Here is a 21,805-nt window from a genome sequence, read left to right on the forward strand (position 1 = left end):
TTTCCACCCACTTGCCAAGTCCTCAAGGGCCAGGAAAGTCACGACTTTCTCACGAAGCCCCCTTCACTAGTCTCGCCCTCCTGGCTGCCTTCTACTCTAAAATTGCATGGCGTGCACAGCAACCCCCAAAGTTTCTCTAAAGGAAAGATAACTTTTCTGAAGATGACCAAAGTGGAGACAGAGTGTTCCAGGACATTCCTATTCCCACTGGGTGGCTCAAACATTGGAGAAGGATTCATGGCAACAGCAAATTAGTTCAAGATGTCCTGATACAAGTTTGCAAACAGTGGTTACTGGACACCTGACTTCATCTTGACAACAGAACAACACCAGACGCCTCTTATATAAGAGGTGTCTTCATTAAGAACACAGCATTCTGCCCCAGGAAACACATACCATGATCAACATCCATTTCCTTTATCAAAATAAGGAGAAGAGATTGAGAGTCTCTGTCCATAAACACACTATGATCAATACTATTTGTGCAGGCAAGGCAAAAGCTCAATTTTTGCCATATTCAGTGACCATCAGGAAATTTCCCAACCAATGCAACTCACAAACTCACATAAAGGGTGCATGTTTCCATGCATAGCAAGTAATACTCTGTGAAAGTTTTAAGAAAAATCCAGCAGCTACATCCACAGAGATATCAGTTGGAATGCAGCTTCATAATTTCTGAAGGAATACTAATTAAGAATGTAATTTTTTCAGCATTTATGAAGTAATAAGATACATCCAGACTATAAAACATACAAAGACAGTGTTAACACATTAATATTATTTTTGTTCACTTAAAAATATGGAGAAGGGGCCAGGTGCAGTGGCTCATGCCTGTAATCCCAACACTTTGGGAGGCCAAGGCGGGTGGATGACTTGAGGTCAGGAGTTCAAGACCAGCCTGCCCAACATTGTGAAACCCCATCTCTACCAAAAATACAAAAATTAGCTGGGTGTGGTGGCATGTGCCTACAATCCCAGGTACTTGGGAGGCTGAAGCAGGAGAATCGCTTGAACCCGGGAGATGGAGGTTGCAGTGAGCCAAGATCATACCACTGCACTCCAGCCTGGGCAACAGAGCAAGACTCTGCCTCAAAAAAAAAAAAGAAAAATGGGAAGGAAAGGGCTGGGCATGGTGGCTCATGCATGTAATCCCAGCACTCTGAGAGGCCAAGGTGGGAGGATTGCTTGAACCCAGGAATTTGAGACCACCCTGGATAACATGATGAAACCTCATCTCTACAAAATAATTTAAAAAAAAATAGCTGGGTGTGGTGGCATGCACCCATAGTCCCAGCTACTTGGGAAGCTGAGGTGGGAGGATCTGTTGAGCCAGGAAAGGCAAGGCTGCAGTGAGCTGAGATTGTGCCACTGCATTTCAGCCTGGGAAACACAGCAACACCCCATCCTAAAATAAATACACACATGCACACACACACATGCATGCACACACACACATATGCACACACACACATGCATACACACACACATGCACACACACACATGCACACATATATATGGAGAAAGAAAAAGGGCATGATGAAGAAGAAATGAGACCTCTCATTTATTGTCCAGGAAAGAGAGCCAAGCCCCAGGAACTGAATCTTGCAAGCCATGAGGATTTCCTTCAGGGTAACCCCAAGCTTGCAAATGAAGTTTCTGGATGTTCTCGCTGGACTAGTGCACTATGTTAGGAAGGTGAGCTGTGTTTTAAAGTGGCCCTGAAACACATAATGACAGCACAGGAGATATGAAGAAGGGAAAGCCACATAACATTAAATAAGAGACCACACTCACTTTCACAGCAAATGTCCCTCTCAGAGAAAATCACTCCTTAGCTGGGAATGGTAGCAGGCGCCTGTAATCCCAGCTACTCGGGAGGCTAAGGCAGGAGAATCGCTTGAACCCGGGAGGTGGAGGTTGCAGTGAGCCTAGATCGCACCACTGTACTCCAGCCTGGGTGACAGAGCAAGACTCTGTCTCACAAAAAAAAAAAAAAAAATCACTCTTTAAGAGTACTGCCTGCACGTGGAGTAAAAGCTGGTCACAAGCACATGCATGACCCAGATGTGGTGCCAAGGGAACCGAACCCACAGCCACCATTCCAAAACCCTGCGTGAAAGTCCCCAGGGGAGGTGGAAGAGTGAGAGTTGCTCTCAGCCACTCCACCCTGTGCTATTTTAAGCACCATGACTTCATTCTTGTTTGTTCTGAAGCAGCACAGATGGGCCGCGTCAATTTATGTTACTACAAGAAGAGAAGGAGACCCAGATTCAAAGCTGCACGTTTCTCTTGCCTTGTGTTAGGGCATCCTGAAGCTGGAACTGTGGTGTGTCGAGCAGAGGAAAGCACTATTTCTTTTTTTTCCTTTCTCTTTTTTAGAAGCCTAAGAGTATTTCACCAACGTGCCCATATTTCATGGAACCAACAGCCAGATCTACCTGAAAAATGGCACAAGGTGAGTTGCTAATAAAGCCATCGAGCCTTTGCAGCTTTGTCAGTGCCACCCAACTGTGAAATCCATGGCCCTTGCTCCAGACACAGGAAGGGTCCTCTTCCTCAGAGAGCAGGAGACAGGGTCAATGATCCAAGCTGCAGCATGATCCAGGGTGGAAGGGGCTCCAAACCACATCTCACCCGGTCACCTCGGAGGGCACAAGGCTCTTCCCTGAACCTTTCCAAGAAACTTAATGAACCAGACTGTCTAAGGGGCAGGTACAGAATATATTATTTTATTTTTTTATTTTTTGAGATGGAGCCTCACTCGGTCGCCCAGGCTGGAGTGCAGTGCCACAATCTCGGCTCACTGCAACTAGGTTTTGAATTGGTAGAGGTGGTCATTACCCCACATTATGAATGCACTAAATGTCACTGAATTACTCACTTTAAAATGATTAATTTTCTCTTATGTCAATTCCACTTCAATTATAAAAAACACTTCAATTATAAAATATGCATAATCTGCATCAGCGTCACTATATATGGTACACCCCACGCATCGCCAGGAGCTGTCAGCCTTGATGTACTTGGTCCGCCTCCTGGTGCAAGCAATTCTCCTGTCTCAGCCTCCCAAGTACCTGGGATTATAGGCACACATCACCATACCTGGTTATTCTTATATTTTTAGTAAAGACAGGGTTTTGCCATGTTGGCTAGGCTGGTCTCAAACTCCTGGCCGCAGGGATCCGCCCCCCTCGGCCTCCCAAAGTGCTGGAATTATAGGCAGAAGCCACCACGCCCGGCCAGATTACATTTATTAAACCTCTCCCAGGCACTGCACAATCTGGTTAAAAACTCCCAAAAATCCTATGAGGTAAGTCCTCTTATCATTCTTTTTTTTTTGAGTCAGAGTCTTGCTCTGCCACCTGAGTTGGAGTGCAGTGGCACTCTCAACGCACTGCAACCTCTGCTTCCCAGGTTCAATCAATTCTCCTGCCTCAGCCTCCCAGTTAGCTGGGATTACAGGCGCATGTCACCATGCCTGGTTAATTTTTGTATTTCTAGTAGAGACGGGGTTTTACCATGTTGGCCTGGCTGGTCTCAAACTCTGGACATCAGGTGATCCACCCACCTCAGCCTCCCAAAATGCTGGGATTACAGGCATGAGCCACCATGTCCGGCCCTCTTAACATTCTTGCTCTTTCTGTTTTCAAACAGAGAAAGCCAGCTCCAAGAAGTCAGGAAACAACAAGGCTGAGCTAGCCTCCGCTTCACAGCAGGTATGTGGAGGAGCTTTGACTGCCCTCCGAGGGGCAGAATAGAAGCTTCTTGAGGAACACTGATCTTTCACTAGTCTACCCAATGTGTCAGCCTCCCCTGCCAGCAAACACCATGTAGAAATAATGAATAAAGATGCATAGAAAACAGGAAAACCCAAGAGCCAGTCCTACAACTGTCACTTCCCAATGACTTGGCCTTGAGCAAGTTCCATTGCCCTTGAGCTCTGTTCGGGTCCCCTATGTGTAAAGGTGTGTTTGGTTCTCCCTCTGACACAGGGTTGGGGACCAAGTACATCCAGGCTGACAGGTCCTGGTGATGAATAGGGTGTACCATATATAGTGACATTGATGCAGATTATGCATGTGTGTGTTTTATATTTTGAAGTGAAATTGACATAAGACAAAATCACTTTGAAGTGAACGATTCAGAAGCGTTCAGTGCATTCACAATGTGAGTAATGACCACCTCTACCTAGTTCAAAAACATTTTCAGTGCCCCAAAATAAACCCCCATGGCCACTAAGCAGTCATTCCCCATTCCCTACTCTCACCAACCTCTGGCAACCTGGAAACTGCTTCCTATCTCTATGGATTTACCTATCCTGAGCATTCCCCATAAGTGGAATTATATGATATGAGACCTCTTGTCTCTTGACTTTCACTAACACGTTTGAGGTTCATCCAAGTTGTAGCATCTGCACTTCGTCCCTTTTTACGGTTGAATAATATTCCATTATGTACATACCGCAATTTGTTTATCCATTCATCCAGTAATGGGCAGCTGAGATGTTTCCGCCTTTTGGTTATCACGAATAATGTTGCGGTAGACATTCATGTAGCAGGTGACGTCTTTTAAGGCACTTTCACATTTCATTCTAACAAGTATGTGAGGTAGACCCTGGTCATATGAATGGCATTTGAGCTGTGCTTCCTTCCTCATTAAGCCATCACTTTCTAATCCCACCCCACTTTTATAATAAGAAAAACAATGAAGAACTTCTAAGGCTAAGTCGGGCACATGAAGCGTTTGTGAAGGAATAAAAAGGTATTGATTAATAATTTGATTTTTAAAAATTAATCATAACTCAGAATGTGTAACAGGACTGTCTCAAAACTGGACATTATTCCTAACATGCATGGAAAATGCAAAGATGGTATTAAAGATTAAATTCTTTAAAAAGTAAAGACACTGCAGGGACATGGAAAGAAAAATGATACAGGAAAGACCAAAGCAAAGCTCTTCATCTCCAAATCTTTGCCATCTAATTTAGTGACCAGAACACTCAGACCTTTCTTTGAACAGAGCCATTTTTATCAAGTCAAGATCTCACGACCATCCAAAGACTCTGAGCTCAAAACCTCATGTGGACAGACGCAAATGTGAGGCAACCTGGCCAGCCTTCTGCTGCTCTGCTACAGGTCTGGGCAAATGAAAGAACGTGCTCAAATCTAAACTCAGGTAATGGAGAGGCTAATGTTGTCAACATCAATATTGTCACTGCTTCCAAGACAACTTCTCAGCAAAACAAAGAGTCTCAACTCCCTCTAGGTGTTAAGAATCTTCAAGTATCAAGTGAAAAGGTCTCCGTTCCCTTGAATTCTTTTTTAATCCAAGGTTTGGGGCTTCAAATTCAGTATAAAGCGAGTGCAATCACAGTAGGTTACTTGAAGGGGCAAAATGCAATCTCACCTTAGGAGCCAGGCCTGCCAGACCCAGTCCCATCAATCAGCCAGCCACGGGCACAAAACACACGCTGATGAAAAGGACTTGGCACTGTGCATTGTGTCATGTCCAATACTCGTCATTGTATACATAATAAAGTCAGTCAGATGAACATTCTCATACTGTGTTCCCCATGTGATGCAAAAAATAACAAAATTGGACTATTGAGAATTTTAAAGGCACACAGAAAAAAAAGGGAGTGCTAAGCCTACAAATTCTCTGGCTGGAATGATACCAAAGTCCTCCTTCTCATGGTCTCCACGATCACCAATTGTTCATTTCTCTCTTTTGTCTTCCCCAATCAAGACCCTCAGTTCAGGGGTACACAAATCAGGAGGAGGCAGGGAGAAAATTTTTTTTAAGATTAATCTTGAACACTTAAATTTTACCAAAGGCAAGGAAAAGGTAAGAGGAAATATATTTTCTACCTCTACCTCCACACCCCTAGCCCTTCCCTCCCAAGGGTACTTTGCTTTAAAGTGAAATCAGGGACATTCTGCCAGGAAAGGTCATTTAGTAAACATGTCAGGCTTTGAGGGCCCTTTGGTCTCTGCTGTGACTACTCACCTATGCCACTGTAGCATAAAAGTAACCACAGACAAAACCCAAATGAATGGGCTGTGTTCCCATAAAACTTTAGGGATGCACTCTTACATTTGAAATTCATACCATTTTTGCATGTCACAAAACATTACTGTTTTCATTTTTTTCCCCAACTCTTTAATAGTCATTCTTAGCTCATGGGCCAATAGCAGGCTGCATTTGGCCCAGAGGCTGTAGTCTGCCTACCCCTTCTTTAAATCATGGATGCTAACTTTTTAGGATATGGTGTATCTGGTTTTTTTCTTTATTTATAGGGGAGGGAGGTTTAAAGTTCTGCATAAACCGGAAAAGAACAAGGCAAGGACATTACAACAGCATATTTCAGAAAGAAAATACCTACCCCTGTTCTGTGAATCTCAAGAAAATTTAAAGAGTCCTTTAGTCACCTGTTGGCAGAGGACCACAAATTTTAAAATATGCTTGCTTACTGCTAAAAGTTAAATGTTTCATTCCTTTCTCTTTGATAAAAGAAATTCAAGCATAGTTACTCCTATTTTCTGAATCAAATCAGTAAGTACTCACTAGATGCCTCTAACGTGTCTAGTACTGGTCATGCTGCCAGAAAGAAAGGACATCAAAATATATCTTTTCCCCCAAACATTTTGATCCCCGAGAGATTTTAGTGTTATAGCTTCAGTATGAAGGTGACAAATTGAGACTGATCCCTCCCAAACCATGATCTCAGCTGATCCCCTTTCATCCACTGAATGCATTTTAGAGATGAGTTTGGCCAGTGGATAGTATACATATTTATGGCAAGGAAGCTGGCATAGTATCACAGGAATAATTCCAGACTTAAGATCCTGGTTCTGCTCTTTAGCTCTGAGACCTGGGGAACACTAATCAGCCTCTCCAAATTCTCTATCCAGTTAAGAGGAGACCTAAAAACATCCTTCTCAAATAGCCCCACCACTTGAGTGCAGGGTCTGTGTATTAGTCCATTTTCATACTGCTATGAAGAAATACCCGAGACTGGGTAATTTATAAAGAAAAAGAGATTTAATGGACTCACAGTTCCACATGGCTGGGGAGGCCTTGCAATCATGGCAGAAGGCAAAGGAAGAGCAAAGGTACGTCTTACATGGCGGCAGGCAAAAGAGCGTGTACAGAGGAACTGCCCTTTATCAAACCATCAGATCTTGTGAGACTTATTCACTATCACAAGAACAGCACAGGAAAACCCACCCTTGTGATTCAGTTACCTCCCACCAGGTCCCTCCCACAACTCGTAAGGATTATAGGAGCTACAGTTCAAGATGAGATTTGGGTGGGGACACAGCCAAGCCCTATCAGCCTGGTAGGCCCTAATTCATCCTCTCATTCAACAAAGGTTTTACTACTACAGTGTACTGGGCTGCAAGAGCACAAAGATGAACAAGGTAGACCCAGTCTCTACCATCACGGAACCTGCAGACCAATTCGTTAGCTATTTTCAGCAGAAACACACAGGCATGCCTAACATGCTCCTTCGACTATAAAACACCTATCCCTTCTTTACTTTCCCCACTACCAGTTCCACTTTAACCTGTAAGTCTGGGAGTAGCTCTGGAGCATGAATTCAGGAGATCCTTGGCATTCGAAGGCTTAAACTCTCATGGTTGGCGCTATTCAGAAGTTCTCTGGTCCACAGCAAGTGCTAATTTACGGTTTGGCCAAGACAAGATCCGAATCCTAGAGGAGGCAAGGTTGTTTTGTGAGGGCAAGTCCTTTAGCTAAGAAGTAAGCCAAGCCTAGTGCTGGCATCTCAACTTGGGTTTGTTCTCTTCATTTAACCAAAGGTTTTATTTAATCCTTGCAACTGCTCTAATAGGTAGGTATGACCATCCTCACTGCAGTCGCACACTGTAGTGGCTGCTTAGCATTTGAAAATTCACAAGGGTCTTGTGTTATCACCCTCCAATGCTCGTGGTCTAGGCAGTGGTATCTAATTCTGGCTATACTTAGACTCAACTTGGAAGCTTTAGAACATACTGATGCCCAAGTCCCATCTCGGATCAGTAAAACAGTCTACCTGAGAGTGAGGCTCAAATATTAGGACTTTTAGAAAGTTATACATATTAAGGTGCATGCACGGTCTTCCATTCTGGACAGTTGGCCCCACTGGGCCAAAATCCTTGCCTGATCTGCTTCTAGAGCCCTTCTAAGAAGCCAGCCCAGTCCTCTGTGGAACATGTTCAGAGCATGTTGGCTAGACCAAGGAACAAACTGCCATATGGTCAAATGTGGATGTGATATGGAAACTCCTGTCACCTGACTCATAACCTTCCCTATCCATGCCCAAAATGAACTTCAGAAAATGCCAACACAAGACTTATAGTATATGGGAATCTCAAAATTTCGCATGCATTTGCAACAAGGTCTAGGAGAAACAGCATAGAAAGCTGCCTAACTCTTCAACAGGAGAAAATTCATACGATGCATTGTATAGGCTTTAATGAGGACACCCAACAGTTACCCTCAAATGGAATTATTCTCATGTACCCACTATTTTGGGATTTAATTAAAATTTCCTTTAACAACTGCCAAGACATTCTTTAAACTTAGTCTTTATTACCTTCTCCAGAATTTTTTTTTTTAATACTAGGGTGAGCAAAATGTTAAATCAGGTTCTCTTGATCATTATGTATGTATTAAACCCTTGGAAACACACAGGGAAAGCTAAGACTCCTATCAGTTTCAGTGTTCAATACATGAAGCATGAAAGGCAGAATGGTTCTTCAAGATGAGATGTTTAAATGGCAACTTCTTTGTCACTGGATCAGACCACACATGTGGAACACAAGGGCTGTGTCCAAGCAGGACAACTCAATCGCAGGCTCAGGAATTAGATATTGAGAAAAAGTACTAGGCGAGATCAAGAGTCAAACAGCCTGGGTAGGGAAGGGCAGGAGTCATCCGAACGGGGTCCTCATCCCCTCCAGATGTCAAAGCTCCAGGGGCCACTGCCAGCCAGAGCTGCTGCCTCTGCTCTCAGCTAACAGTGGCTAAGAAGGAAGGCCTAGGCAGCTGAGTCCCAGGGGAGAGCACACTTGGAGGGGCATTACCCCAAGGAAAAGGTGGAAAGGATTATAGGAAAAAACAAAGGTTGTCTATGTGCCACAAGGAGGGGCTTCAGGTTCCCGTCTCTAACATAACATTTCTACAGCACTAATAGCATATCATGTACCTGCTATACCAATAGTATAGTATTAAATACTTCCATGATAGTTATGTCTTGCAAACAGCACCCAGGTGGTCTTGACTACCAATGGACTCTAAATAGAGAAACTTAACAACCTATTACATGTGTCAGAGAACATTCACTGTTGCCAAGTAGTGTTTCTATAGGTACGAATGAAGGACACTCCTCTTAGGCAAAACAGGTAAGGCTTTGAGGAGCTGTCACATCTACCCAGCTGCTTTGAGGTCATTGCTTCTCTGCATTTTATGTTACCCCAGTCTCTACTCCTAGGGGAGGATGGTTCGGCAAGGTCACCAAGACCCTCCTGGCCAGAGTGGGGATTTCTTTAGACCGCAGGAGAGGAGCTCCTTAACCACCTTTAAGCAAGTTAATAATCTGTTCAGGGCCACCTGAGGATTAAGTGGTATAGCCCAGAGTAGAGAGGGTCCCCCAGCATGAAAGAGACTCCAATGTCCTAGTGTCAGATGCAAAAAGGAAAATTACAGAGCTCAGCTTCCTCCTAAGTGAAAAGCTGAACTTTTAAAACCTTAGACAAATGTGTCTATGGAGTCAAAAACAACACAGAGAAGCTGTGACATTTAAAAAAAAAAAAAAAAAGCAAATGATGAACTCAAGTAACAAATCTTCCACTCAGCATCCCAGCGGCAGAGAGAAATGCCAACCTCAGGACTCCTACATGTGTTTTATGCTGAAGGAGCTATTTCAAGCAGCAAAGGTTCTGCTTCTATGCCATTCCCAGTTTCTGTTTTGTTTTGTTTTGAGGTATGTCTTTTTAAATATCCACGATAAAAATGTAACCATCCCAAATATATTTCAATGATAGAAATACATGACCACTGTTTAGTTTAAATCAACAGTATCTCTCTCAAAACTGCCTCCTGGCTGGGCGCAGTGGCTCATGCCTGTAATCCCAGCACTTTGGGAGGCCAAGGCGGGTGCATAACTTGAGGTCAGGAGTTCAAGACCAGCCTGGCCAACATGGTGAAACCCCATCTCTACCAAAAATACAAAAATTAGCCGGGTGTGGTGGCAGGTGCCTGTAATCTCAGCTACTCAGGAGGCTGAGGCAGGAGAATTGCTTGAACCTGGGAGGCAGAGGTTGCAGTGAGCCGAGATCATGCCATTGCACTCCAGCCTCAGTGACAAGAGCAAAAAAAATGCCGTCTCAACAAAATAAAACAAAACAAAACTGCTTTCTATAAAGATTACTATAATTGATAGGAAGCCCAGAGCATAGTGCCTGACACATTTGTATGTGCTAATAAATACTAGCTTTCCTGATTCATATAAGCTAACGATTGAAGGCTACTATGAACCAGGCACTGAAAGCTCTTTATACACCTTCTCAAAGACTCCACACACAGCCTACAAAGGTGCTGTTATCACATCCAATTTACAGATGAGAAAACAGGTACACAGAGGTTAAGGCAACTTCCCAAAAGTCACACTGCAAAAAAGAGTGCAGGCTGGGATTCAACTCAAATCAAAGGTTCTTAAACAGCAGCCATGCACTTTCTTAACTCTAACAACAGGGTAGCCCTCACGCCAGAATAATTTACCATCTTTTCCATTTTACGCTAAAGCCATTTTGGGGGTTGTCTTTAAGTGAAGTCAGAGCAGGGGTGGGGACACTAGTCATCAACTTGTGCCCACCCCCATCTTCGGCAGCCTCCCCCAGGCTGTGCTCGGCCCTATTTGCTAAATAGCAGGTCCCTGGAGGTTGCACAACCATCAGCAGCAAAGTAGCTGGAATCCAAAACTAACACGGCTATCCCTTCAACGCTTCCTCTTCACCTCGGGCAAATAATCCATCAGTGCACAAGGCCACAGGTGTGAGGGGCGGCACAGAGACAGGAGAGAGGCCCCATTCCAGGAGAGTAAGCCTTTGGATCTGAGCCTCACGGAACAGGCAGGCTCTAGCCTACAGCCTCCATTCCTGCAGGGTAAGAATACAGTAGACAGGAGGCTAAAGTGGCCGGTTTGGCTCTCGTGATGCAGAAGGAAGCCTGGAGTCAGCAAGGGGAGACCAGGCTGCTGAATGGGCCAGTGGCTAACTGCAAGGCCAGCTCAGGGCAGCTAACTGAAACAGCAGCTCCTACTTCAACGAAGGGGAACTGGGTGGGGAGGGAAATGACCCAGTGTAGACATTGTCCTTACAGCACACACAAAAAGCACATGCCTACATATGACAATGATGGAATATGGCATTTCAAGCCAAATTTATACTAAACATCAAAGAAAACCAGGGCTTTTCTGAAACCAAAACACATTTCTAACCACTTTCTTGAAGAAAACAAAAATGGCTGGGATCTGAACCAGGCATAACCATTTTGTCTTGCTTTTTGAAAGCTGACAAATGGTCATCCCAGCCCTTCCTTCCCCAGTCTATGACCTTTTCAGACCATCTTGGTTCCTCTCCTGATGTTTCCTAAAGTAGTGAAATGACAGTACATTCAACTATCTGGCCCCATTTTATTTCCATGTGATTTAAACCTGATGTTTAATGTGACAGCACTTCCATTTAAAGTAAGCAAAAAAAAAAGAAAAAAAGTTTCTTATACACAAATGTTTTAACGTTTAATGTGTAATGTTTAACATGTGGTTAAAAAGGAAGCAGCCCACAATTTTAAAAAAATGAAATTTAAAAAATGGAAGAAAAACAATGACCCCAAAATCCTCATTCAAGGAATTGTGAACAGAAACAAAGTCTTACAATAGCCTGCAGTACACTATCAAATACTAGCTTTATGTATATATAGATATATACGTATATACACATATAGATATGTACACATATATACAGATATATGTACATGCAAGGATCCAAACCTAGTAGGGAATTTCCAAGAGTGCCAGCTTCTCTGACACCCTGGAAAGGAACTCAGAAACACAGGTGTCTCTCCAGACTAGAAAACCTCAACTGGAGGCCAGAGGTGGGACACGCCCTAGGAAGCATCCAGACAGACGGAGTGGAACAACACAACCTTTCCAACACGAAGGAGCCCACTGCCATATCTGAATCTGGCTGCAAATCTGTCAAGACACAGGGCGGGTGGAAACATCAGAAACCATCTTACTGACATGGTCAACCAATGGCTGAGCAGACACACTCAGGACCAAGACCCCATAATACAGCAGTTAAAAGCCTCCAGGCTCTGGAATCAGAGCCCAGTTGCAGCCTCTTCCAGTGTCAATAAGAGAAGTTACCAAGTGGATGGTGGTGAGGCCATAACAAGCCGGTACCCACATGCGGTGGGGGCTCTGACACCACTCCCATTTCCATTATCAAACCAAGGAGACCGAAAAAGTGACCTGGGCCATAGGATTCTCAAATACTGATCATCTGAACAAATAGAATCTTGTATCTGACAACAGCAGAGCAGCACAACCATTTGGTTTGCAGCCACGGCCAAAACTTGGAGATTGCAAATGTACAATCAGAGTAAAGACAGCCACAGGATAGCAAAAACCTTTCTTTATTTCTTTTTTTCTAGACGAATGAACTGTAAGCTACTTTGCATTCCTTTTAAGCTTCTTATTTTTTAGTGTCTGATACCACGGCCATTAAAAACAATCTCTAAAAAGTCTTTGTTGCACATCAGAATGAGACAGCTGGGTTACTGGCATGAGGAAATGTTCAATCTTGTCATTTTGCAAAGGAATTCATATTCATAATTAATGACGCTTTTGTCCATGCCAGAAGGAAAATCTAAAGGCTCAACTATGCCTAAGTAAATTCTAACCAAGCCAACTGCAACACGGTTTTATAAATTATAGAGCAACAGAAAAGAACAAGATTTTGTGAGTTGCAAGCATAAAGAAAAGAACGAATGACAAGGCGGCCATGTTTCAAGGAAGCAATGAGATTAGGAACATTCATTTCTAAAAGGATGGGTAGATTTTCCTTCTCCCTCATAAAAGCAGCAGTAATTGAAAACTTCAACATCATAAGAAAAGGCATATATTTGACCTGCTACATGTATTTGAGAGATTTAATAACACTTTCTTTGTGAGTGTGCCAGACAGATACCACCGGGTTCCATCACTGGCCCCAAATGTCAACTAAAGATAATGAAGTGGGGGCAGATAAGCTACAAAGTTAGGTTTGGTTTAAGAGGTATGTCTATGGAGATGCTGGTAGATAAGTAGAAAACCCCTTGAAAAAACACTAGTGAAACATTTCAAAGAAATGTTCTTAAAGATAACTTTGCTTGTCACATAGCCATTAGATAGATAAACAAATGTGTGTTCAAGTAGAAACTCATTCCATTCATTCAAAGAAGATGTATTTGGCCCCTACTATGTTAGGGGCTAAGGCTATAATGATAAAACACAAAACACTGCCAGAAGCTGGGAAGGGTGGGGACAGGGAGTAACTGCTTAATGAGTATGAGATTTTTGTGTGTTTTTCTCATGGTAAATAAATAAATAAATATAAACCAAGAAATTCACTATTTTAATTAACCATTTCTAAATATACAATCCTGTGACATTAAGTATATTCACATTGTTAATGTAACCATCACCACCTCCATCTCCAGAACTTTTCATCATCCCGGTACGGGGCTTTCTTTCACGGTAATGAAAATGTTTTGGAATTAGATGAGGTGGTGTCACACAGCACTGCAAAAATGTCCAAACTGTCACTAAACTGTTTACTTAAAAATGATTAGTTTTATGTTATATGAATTTCACCTCAATGAGAAAAAAATAAAAGAAAGGAGCCTGGATGCAGTGACCCATGCCTGTAATCCCAGCACTTTGGGAGGCCAAGGTGGGAGAATCTCCAGACCAGGGAACAGGTAATGTACAGTACAGTGCTACGACAGCGAAGCCCAGATTCTGGGCAGAGCTCTCAGCGGGGATCCTAAGCCCCTCAAGGAGGAAAGGCGTCCTGGAGGAGAGACCGCCTGAGATAACCTTGGAAGGTAAGTCAGAGTCTGCAGGTGAGGGAAGGGAGAGGGCATTCCGAGTGTGTGTGATGCAGGAGAGAATGACATATTCAACACACCTGGGGCATGTACTGGGGAGACAGCCAAAAACCCCACATTCATTCAAGACACCATTCATCCCCCAAATCTAATCACAAAACATACAATAATGGGGTGAACATTATAATTATACATCATACTTAAAATATTTGTTTAAAATAATAATTATAAAAAATACTTTTAAAATGCCAGAAGAAGACATTCAGGAGAAAACAAGGACTGAACTGGATCCCAAACAGCGGCAGAAGTTGGAGACAGACAAGTGGGAGGGGACAGGCCACGCGGGGTGAAGGCGGAACGCAAGTGAGCACCATGTCTCTAAGTGACCAAGGAGCCAGCAGTCGGAAGGTGGCCAGGGACCCCCAAAGTCCCAAGTCACAGGAGCACCACGACCTCTCATCACAGCTGCCTGGGTTTACAATTTATAAAATGCTTTCACAACTATGACCTCATTTGACTTCCACCGTCACCCTGACAGGCAGGTACGGCAGACCTGACTGTCATCTCATAGACAACGAAACTCAGGTGTGTCCAGCTGTACTGACCCACCCAGGGCCACACAGCTGTGAGCAGGCAGAGGGGGCCTGCAGCCGCCTCCCCATCCAGCTCCGCCTCCCTGAGCCCTCTCTCCATCACGCAGGGAGCGCAACACGAACGGGAACTCAAGCGCTCTGTTCACCCCATTCCTATTCTCATTTGACTTAATCTTCTGAAAACAAAAAAAAAAACTTGCATATTTTCACTCTGGGAAATGACCTTTTGGTAAAAAGGAAGCAGTCTTTTTTTAGTAAGATGTGGACTCTTTACAGAGTTGTATACGTGCAACTTGGCAGAGTAGTTGTTTTTCAGATGAAACAATGCATGGACTGTCGAATTCCTAACATCATAACTTAGTTATGAATGATTTCAAACCTAGCTTCAATGAACCAAGCTAGCTACAACTGCCTCAAAAAAGGCATAGCCAGAGTTCCGTTAAATTGCCCAACAAAACCCAAAGAGGTCTAGCTTGGTGATTCTCAACCAGGGCTGATCTCAATACACATTTTTGGTTTTCACAACTGAGAGGGTGTAGAGGCCGAGAACGCTGCTAACCAACCTACAATGCACAACACGCCCCTCACAACTAATATTTATCCAGCCCCAAATCACAGATTGAGAAGCCCTGGTCTCAATTCTGAGGTGTTTCCATAAACTGATCCCTGAGGTGGGAAGAACCTGGTACTGGAGTGTCACATAGACGAGATACACACTCCAGAAACTTATGTCTGGCACACTTGGTTAAAATGGCAGGCAGCTTCAAAGTTGTGTGCCATTTTAACCAGGTGACTTCAAGTCACCAAGAGTTTCCCCATTTGCAAAATGGGGTTCCCACTACCTTTCTCAACCTGAGATAAGGCAGCTGGTGGGCAAGTCGAGAACCCCAACAGCAGAGGACCCACAGTCAATGCTCAAGACCGAGGCTGGACTGAGCTCACTAAATAGCACACTCTCCCGGCACTCGCTTTATCCAAAACATTTGAAAACACAAACGCCAGAGCGATGGGCATCATCTAAATAAGGGTGGAGACAATTACTATCCTTCAATCTCATTAAGCAGGAGTCCATATGCCTGCATGGAAACCAGGGCTTGGGATCACTGTCATCTCCCACACAGACATACTGTAGTCAGTGACCGGTAGGACCACCTGGACCACTGCAGGAGGTTGGGTGGTGCGTTTACATGGCTCATATTTCCTGCAGTTCCAGCACAAGCAACACCTCTTGCACTTGGGCTTAAATCGTATTATCCAAATGAAGTATCACTCTCCTAATCAGCATCCCCTTTAAGCAAGCACAGATGGCAATCACGTGCTTAAGTGGCAAATCAAGGGCTGAAATCCGGGCAAGCTCTCCCAGGCTCTCGGATCTGGTTCTGTGAGTGGGTTCTGAGAGAGACAGGGGTCAGGAAACACAGGATGACTGGCACACGCAGAGAGCTCAAGGTCTTTTGTCTGCCCTCAAGCCCTTCTGGTGAACCAAATGGACTCCACCAGAGTCAGCGGGTAAACACCCTTGTCAGCCTTGCAGGCCAGTCATTCTCAAAGAGAAGCCTGTGGATCAGCAGCACAGGAAGAAGAATGTTTACTATCGCCTCCACAATTCTTTTGTATTTTATCAGATCCTCTGGCCATCTTTGAGAAACTGTGCACTGTCCTACTTCTGACAATCAGATTAAAAGGGCGCGTATTAAAGGTCCCTTTCTGTCTTAGCAGAAACAGTATTTTTTCATTTTACTTGTAATCAATCAGCTTTGCCCCCTTTCCTGATTTTAAAGGCAGGAAGAAGCAGCATTGTATTGAACTGTGAAATGCGCTCAAATGCGGCTCTAAAGGGAAGTACCACCCGGGCGGCTGGATATTAGTTTCCATGGTAACCGAGGTCCCTGGGCCCTAGCACACACAGCAGGAAATGCTGCAGATTACCACAGCAGTGTCTTTTACTAGAAATAAGAGTTCCATTTCAATTGTAAACATTTGGGAATCAAAAAACGTGTATTTGTGTGTATGTGCGTACGTGTGCGTGTGTATGTATGTGCATATGTGTATGTTGTGTGTATATATGCGTGTGTATGTGTATGTTGTGTATGTTGTGCGTGTGTGTGTGCATGTGTATGTGTGTGTATATATGTGTGTACGTGTATGTTGTGAATGTATGTGTATGTGTACATGTGTACGTCTGTGTGTATGTGTGTTGTGTGTGTGTTGTACGTGTGTACATGTGTATGTTGTGTGTATGTGTATATGTGTATGTGTGTGTACGTATGTGTGCATGTAGATGAATTGAAGGCAATGTAAATGAATTGAAGCCTCATTATTCTTACAGTTAAGAAGCTTATGTCAAATGAAACAAATGATTAAAATGTAAGCAAAAATAGCCTCCCCCCTTCCAAAGAGCTAAAAGAAAACAAAAATATCTTCTGCAGAAAAAGGAAGAACCAGAATGGAAGCAGAGAGCTGCTTTGGAAACCAGATGACCACGGGTTTCTTATTAACAAACAAGCAAACCAAAATGTCTGTAAACAATCACCGGCTGAGAGACAGAACAGAGATTTTTTTCACAACCTATGCTGTGTCCTCCTTGAACTCCCTCACCATGAAACCAAGAAGTCAGAGCCAACAACTGCTTAGGTGGTTTTTAAGGGAAATCACGCAATAGAAAACCCAACGCTAGAATCCCCAGTCTCCTTCCTAGCTGTGTGACCTCGGACAAGTGACTTCACTGAGATTCAGTGTCTCCAGTAAAAATGAAAATGTTGCACTAGATACTAGGTGAGCAGAAGAAAAAAAAAAATCCTGTATCTTCTCAAAAATGAAAGACCAGATAGTTCCTTTAAAAAAAAAAACTTCCAAGTAGTTCTCACTTTAAGCTTTCTTGAAGTAGTGTATACAAATCTAATGTCTTTAAAATGAGTCAGAAGAATTCACTGCCAAATTCTCGGTGACAGAAGACCTTTTTAGTATTCTATAACTATTCCTTGAGTTATTTTCTGGTAACAGCACTTTTCCTACAGCAGAGGACACAAGCGCAGGTTAAAGTGAAAATTTTAGTTCCAACTAGCTTTCACATTTTGTGCGTGTTTTCTAGCTGAGACTTTTTCAAAGGGAGCACAGAGGAGGCATCTATGTGGTCTGACCAAACAGACCCGTCCTAGAAAAATACTAGTTTGACAACTTCAAGTATCTTCAAGTTCACATTTACATTCCAGATGGTTATTTTTATCTAAGATGGGCAGAGCAGACCAAACCAAGTTCATAGCTCTATGGCAAATGATTCTTCACAAGAGAACATTAAAAAAAAAAAAATTCTTGGCTGGGCGTGGTGGCTCACACCTGTAATCCCAGCACTTTGGGAGGCTGAGGCAGGCGGATCACCTGAGGTCGGGAGTTTGAGACCAGCCTGACCAACATGGAGAAACCCCATCTCTACTAAAAATACAAAAATTAGCTGGGCATGGTGGCGCATGCCTGTAATCCTAACTACTCGGGAGGATGAGGCAGGACAGTCGCTTGAACCCGGGAGGTGGAGGTTCCAGTGAGCCAAGATCGCACCATTGCACTCCAGCCTGGGCAACGAGAGTGAAACTCCATCTCAAAAAAAAAAAAAAAAAAAAATTCTTCGCTTCATCTGCATGAACTAAAATAACTGCATTCTTTCATGAATGTTAATATTTTACCAAAAGTGACTACAAGGTATGTGTGTGTGGCAGTGGGGATGGGGTGGGGTATTAGTTATTAAGCCAAAACAAAAAGCCAATCTATGGGAAGCAAAGGCAAGAACTAGGATGGAAAGAGGTGGGGGAGGAGAAGAGGGGAGAATTGTCAGTGCTTGTATACAAAATGCACGGTGGCTCTGTTAGCTAGAAGTGGGCAACTGCTGAGTAAACCACTTTATTATGTAAACTGCCTAACAACACAAATAACCACGCTGCACACAAATCAACTCAGTCACCCATAAAAACACACATCCTCTCCAAGCTTGGACCTTCCTCCCCACTGCTGCTGCTCCCGCCGCCGCCACCACCATCGCATAATTCACCGGCATTGATGAAGGCTGCCGAGGTTAGACAGGGAACAGCACACACACATCCAGATGTAATTCAAGTATCATCTGGGGAAATACACTAAAGCCTAATGGGGAAACCCCATTGAATGGAGCAAGACTTTCTCTCTGTTAGGGGTAAGACAATCCTGAGCAGGACAGACACACATGCTTGGGTGTGGAATTCTGATATCCCTCACTGTCCCTGCTGGAGGATTATAGAATTCTGGTGACATCCTGCCCTGAGGATCCAGGATATGTTTTGGTAAATGTGGGATTCCGGTGAGTTCATTCTGGGCTAACACATGATGACTGCCCTTTCAAGTGTCATTCCAGGAAGACATGGTTAAAAGCAAAACACGACTGAGGCAGGAGCACTGGTTGACCACAATGAACAATTCTCTCTGGCAACTGCTGCTACCCAACCAAAGATCAATAATAAAAGGCCACTTGTCAAATGGGGAACAGTGCTGTCGCCAGGCATCAGTTTTTACATCAAGAAAAGAGCAATGGGATTAGAAAGGAGGGATTCGTTTTATCAGCAGTAATGCTAGGCTCATGGTTACAAATCTCCTAAATATACGTACTTGCCCGTCAAAATAATCAAACACATAAGCAACCATAACTCCATCAACTGAAAAACATCAAAAACAAGGTATTTTTTTAAATTTATAAAATAAAAACACTCTTTAAAAATATACAGATTCATTTGTTATTTCTAGTTCTTATGTATAGTATGAGTTGTAAAAATGCTAAAAATGCATGACACCCTACTGTCCTGGGCTCAACACAAAGTCTGAAGTTTCATAGAAAGCACACCCCAAACAATGACAGCTTTAAAAAAAATGGGGAATCGTAAGACAAACTTCACATGCCCGGGCCATTTTTAAAAAGATGTTTTATTCATAGCAGACGTATATGACTAAATACATTGTGCTAACAAATTAAAATGACGCAAGACAAATTGAAGTGGAAAAACACCAAAATGATGAGACCAAAAGCAGACTGTACATTTACAAACCCATTTAAAACAATATTTTTTTTACATCACCTCCCACTAGGGCAATGGCAGCTCTAAAATCTGTGTATAGGAGGGCTTAGGAGCTGGAAAATTTATCTTGAAGATATGCTTACATAATAACCACAGTTTTTAGCTATGTTGCCTATTATTATAAATAGCAATCATTTTTATAGATTTTATTTGTACTTTATGTAAGATTGAGATTATAAAAAGTGCTCAATATAAAAAGTATATGGATACACATACGTACATACATGTACACAAACACATACACATATATACAGTTTAGATGGTTTCAAGAGTTGTTTATTTTTTTTTGAGACCAAGTCTTGCTCTGTTGCCCAGGCTGGAGTACAATGGTACGATCTTGGTTCACTGCAACCTCCGCCTCCCAGGTTCAAGTGATTCTCCTGTCTCAGCCTCCCAAGTAGCTGGGACTACAGATGCCCGCCACCACACCCAGCTAATTTTTGTATTTTTAGTAGAGATGGGGTTTCACCATATTGGCCAGGCTGGTCTCGAACTGCTGACCTCAAGTGATCCACCGGCCCCTGCCTCCCAAAGCACTGGGATTACAGGCGTGAGCCACCGCATCCGGCTGATATACCTTTTTATTTTTAATCAAATGAAGAAATTTGACTACATTCCTTTATGGTAATATTCAAAGAATTTTCAGTTCCAGACCTAAAAGAAGGGCCTTTTATATGATGTTTTTAATTTGAAAAAAAATTGTTTTCAGTTTGAGGCTAAAGAGTTTGGTAAGTAGTAATAAGAAGACAAATATTTCAGGTGATAGATATCCCAATTACCCTGATTTTTTTTTTTTTTTTTTGAGACAGAGTCTCACTCCATTACCCAGGCTGGAGTGCAGTGGCATGATCTTGGCTCATTGCAACCTCCGCCTCCTGAGTTCAAGTGATTGTCATGCCTCAGCCTCCCGAGTAGCTGGAATTAGAGGCCCGCCACCAAGCTCAGCTAATTTTTTTGTATTTTTAGTAGAGCCAGGATCTCGCCATGTTGACCAGGCTGGTCTCTAACTCCTGACATCAAGTGATCCACCCACCTCGGCCTCTCAAATGATTCGAACTTTACACATTATATCAATTTATCAAAGTATCATATGTGCCCCCATAACATGTGGATGCATCAATCTTTTTAAAAAGAAAAAAAAAAAGTTTGCTAGGTAGAAATAGTAAGACTCTAATTACACGAAAGAGTTCTGGGCTTGAACACCAAAGGCAATCCAGAAGTTAAAGGCTAGTGAAGTCTCAATTAAACAATCTGGTTAAAATAAAACTCAGGAGCAAACAAGAGCAGTCTGGCTGGAGCCAGGAAACAACCCAGCTGGGAACCCAAACAACCCAGCACCTTCTCCCCTCAGAGGAAAGATTCCCTCCCCTCCTCCACTCCATCCATGAAGCAGGGTGAGTGCCTTCTACCCAGTTGTCCTTTGCACCAGAGACTTGACCTCAGGGAGGGGTCACCAAGATTCAAATTCTGAACTCCAGGGAGGAATCCTGCCAAGACCCCATCCCAACAGCCCCTTGCTCGAGAACTGACGGGCTTCCCACCAGGATCCATGAGGGCTGCATAAAAGTGGAAGCTACTGTTTGCACGCAGTCGTTCATTCAGCAGATGGGTCTGCACCCTGCTGAAGGCCAGATACTCAGCATCTGGGAAAGTGAGTTCCTCAGGAAGGAGCAGGTCCTGTTAGAGGTGTCTCCAATCTGGTGGGGAAGATAGTGACAGCACAGCTAGGGGAATCCTCTGACCCCAGCATGTCCCCCGAGGCCCTGAGCAAGGACCCAGTTTACTTCCTGAGGGAAGACAAAGGTCTCACAAGTGATACAGCTCTTAAACTCCTGGGAGACAAGCAGCAGATCCTCAAGCATACAAACAGGGTGAAGAAGGGGAGGGCTGGAAAGGACATTCTGGGCCTGGAATGCACATGTGCCAGCAGATAGGGATCAAGGGTTTTAAGGGTTTCAGAAA

The 21,805-nt window shown here is 43.4% G+C and overlaps 1 protein-coding gene across 31 annotated transcripts in view, besides 3 other annotated features; it reads right to left on the bottom strand.

The window, feature by feature from the left end:
* The window catches only part of MTSS1 (MTSS I-BAR domain containing 1), a 177,690-nt gene that overhangs the window by 120,619 nt on the left and 35,266 nt on the right, over window positions 1-21,805 (bottom strand). The gene's annotated exons all lie outside the window — the stretch shown is intronic.
* Window positions 2,055-2,154: an enhancer, noted in NCBI's record as "active region_27894". NCBI's record gives its function as "activates an Ori minimal core promoter by ATAC-STARR-seq in GM12878 lymphoblastoid cells {active_cell/tissue: GM12878}" and the evidence as "EXISTENCE:reporter gene assay evidence [ECO:0000049][PMID:35858748]".
* Window positions 2,215-2,264: an enhancer, noted in NCBI's record as "active region_27895". NCBI's record gives its function as "activates an Ori minimal core promoter by ATAC-STARR-seq in GM12878 lymphoblastoid cells {active_cell/tissue: GM12878}" and the evidence as "EXISTENCE:reporter gene assay evidence [ECO:0000049][PMID:35858748]".
* Window positions 16,426-16,720: a silencer, noted in NCBI's record as "tiled region #8202; HepG2 Repressive non-DNase unmatched - State 5:Enh". NCBI's record gives its function as "represses a minimal TATA promoter and a strong SV40 promoter by Sharpr-MPRA in HepG2 cells {active_cell/tissue: HepG2}" and the evidence as "EXISTENCE:reporter gene assay evidence [ECO:0000049][PMID:27701403]".

This window comes from Homo sapiens, chromosome 8 (assembly GCF_000001405.40).
Source record: "Homo sapiens chromosome 8, GRCh38.p14 Primary Assembly".
Classification (NCBI taxonomy): domain Eukaryota; kingdom Metazoa; phylum Chordata; class Mammalia; order Primates; family Hominidae; genus Homo; species Homo sapiens.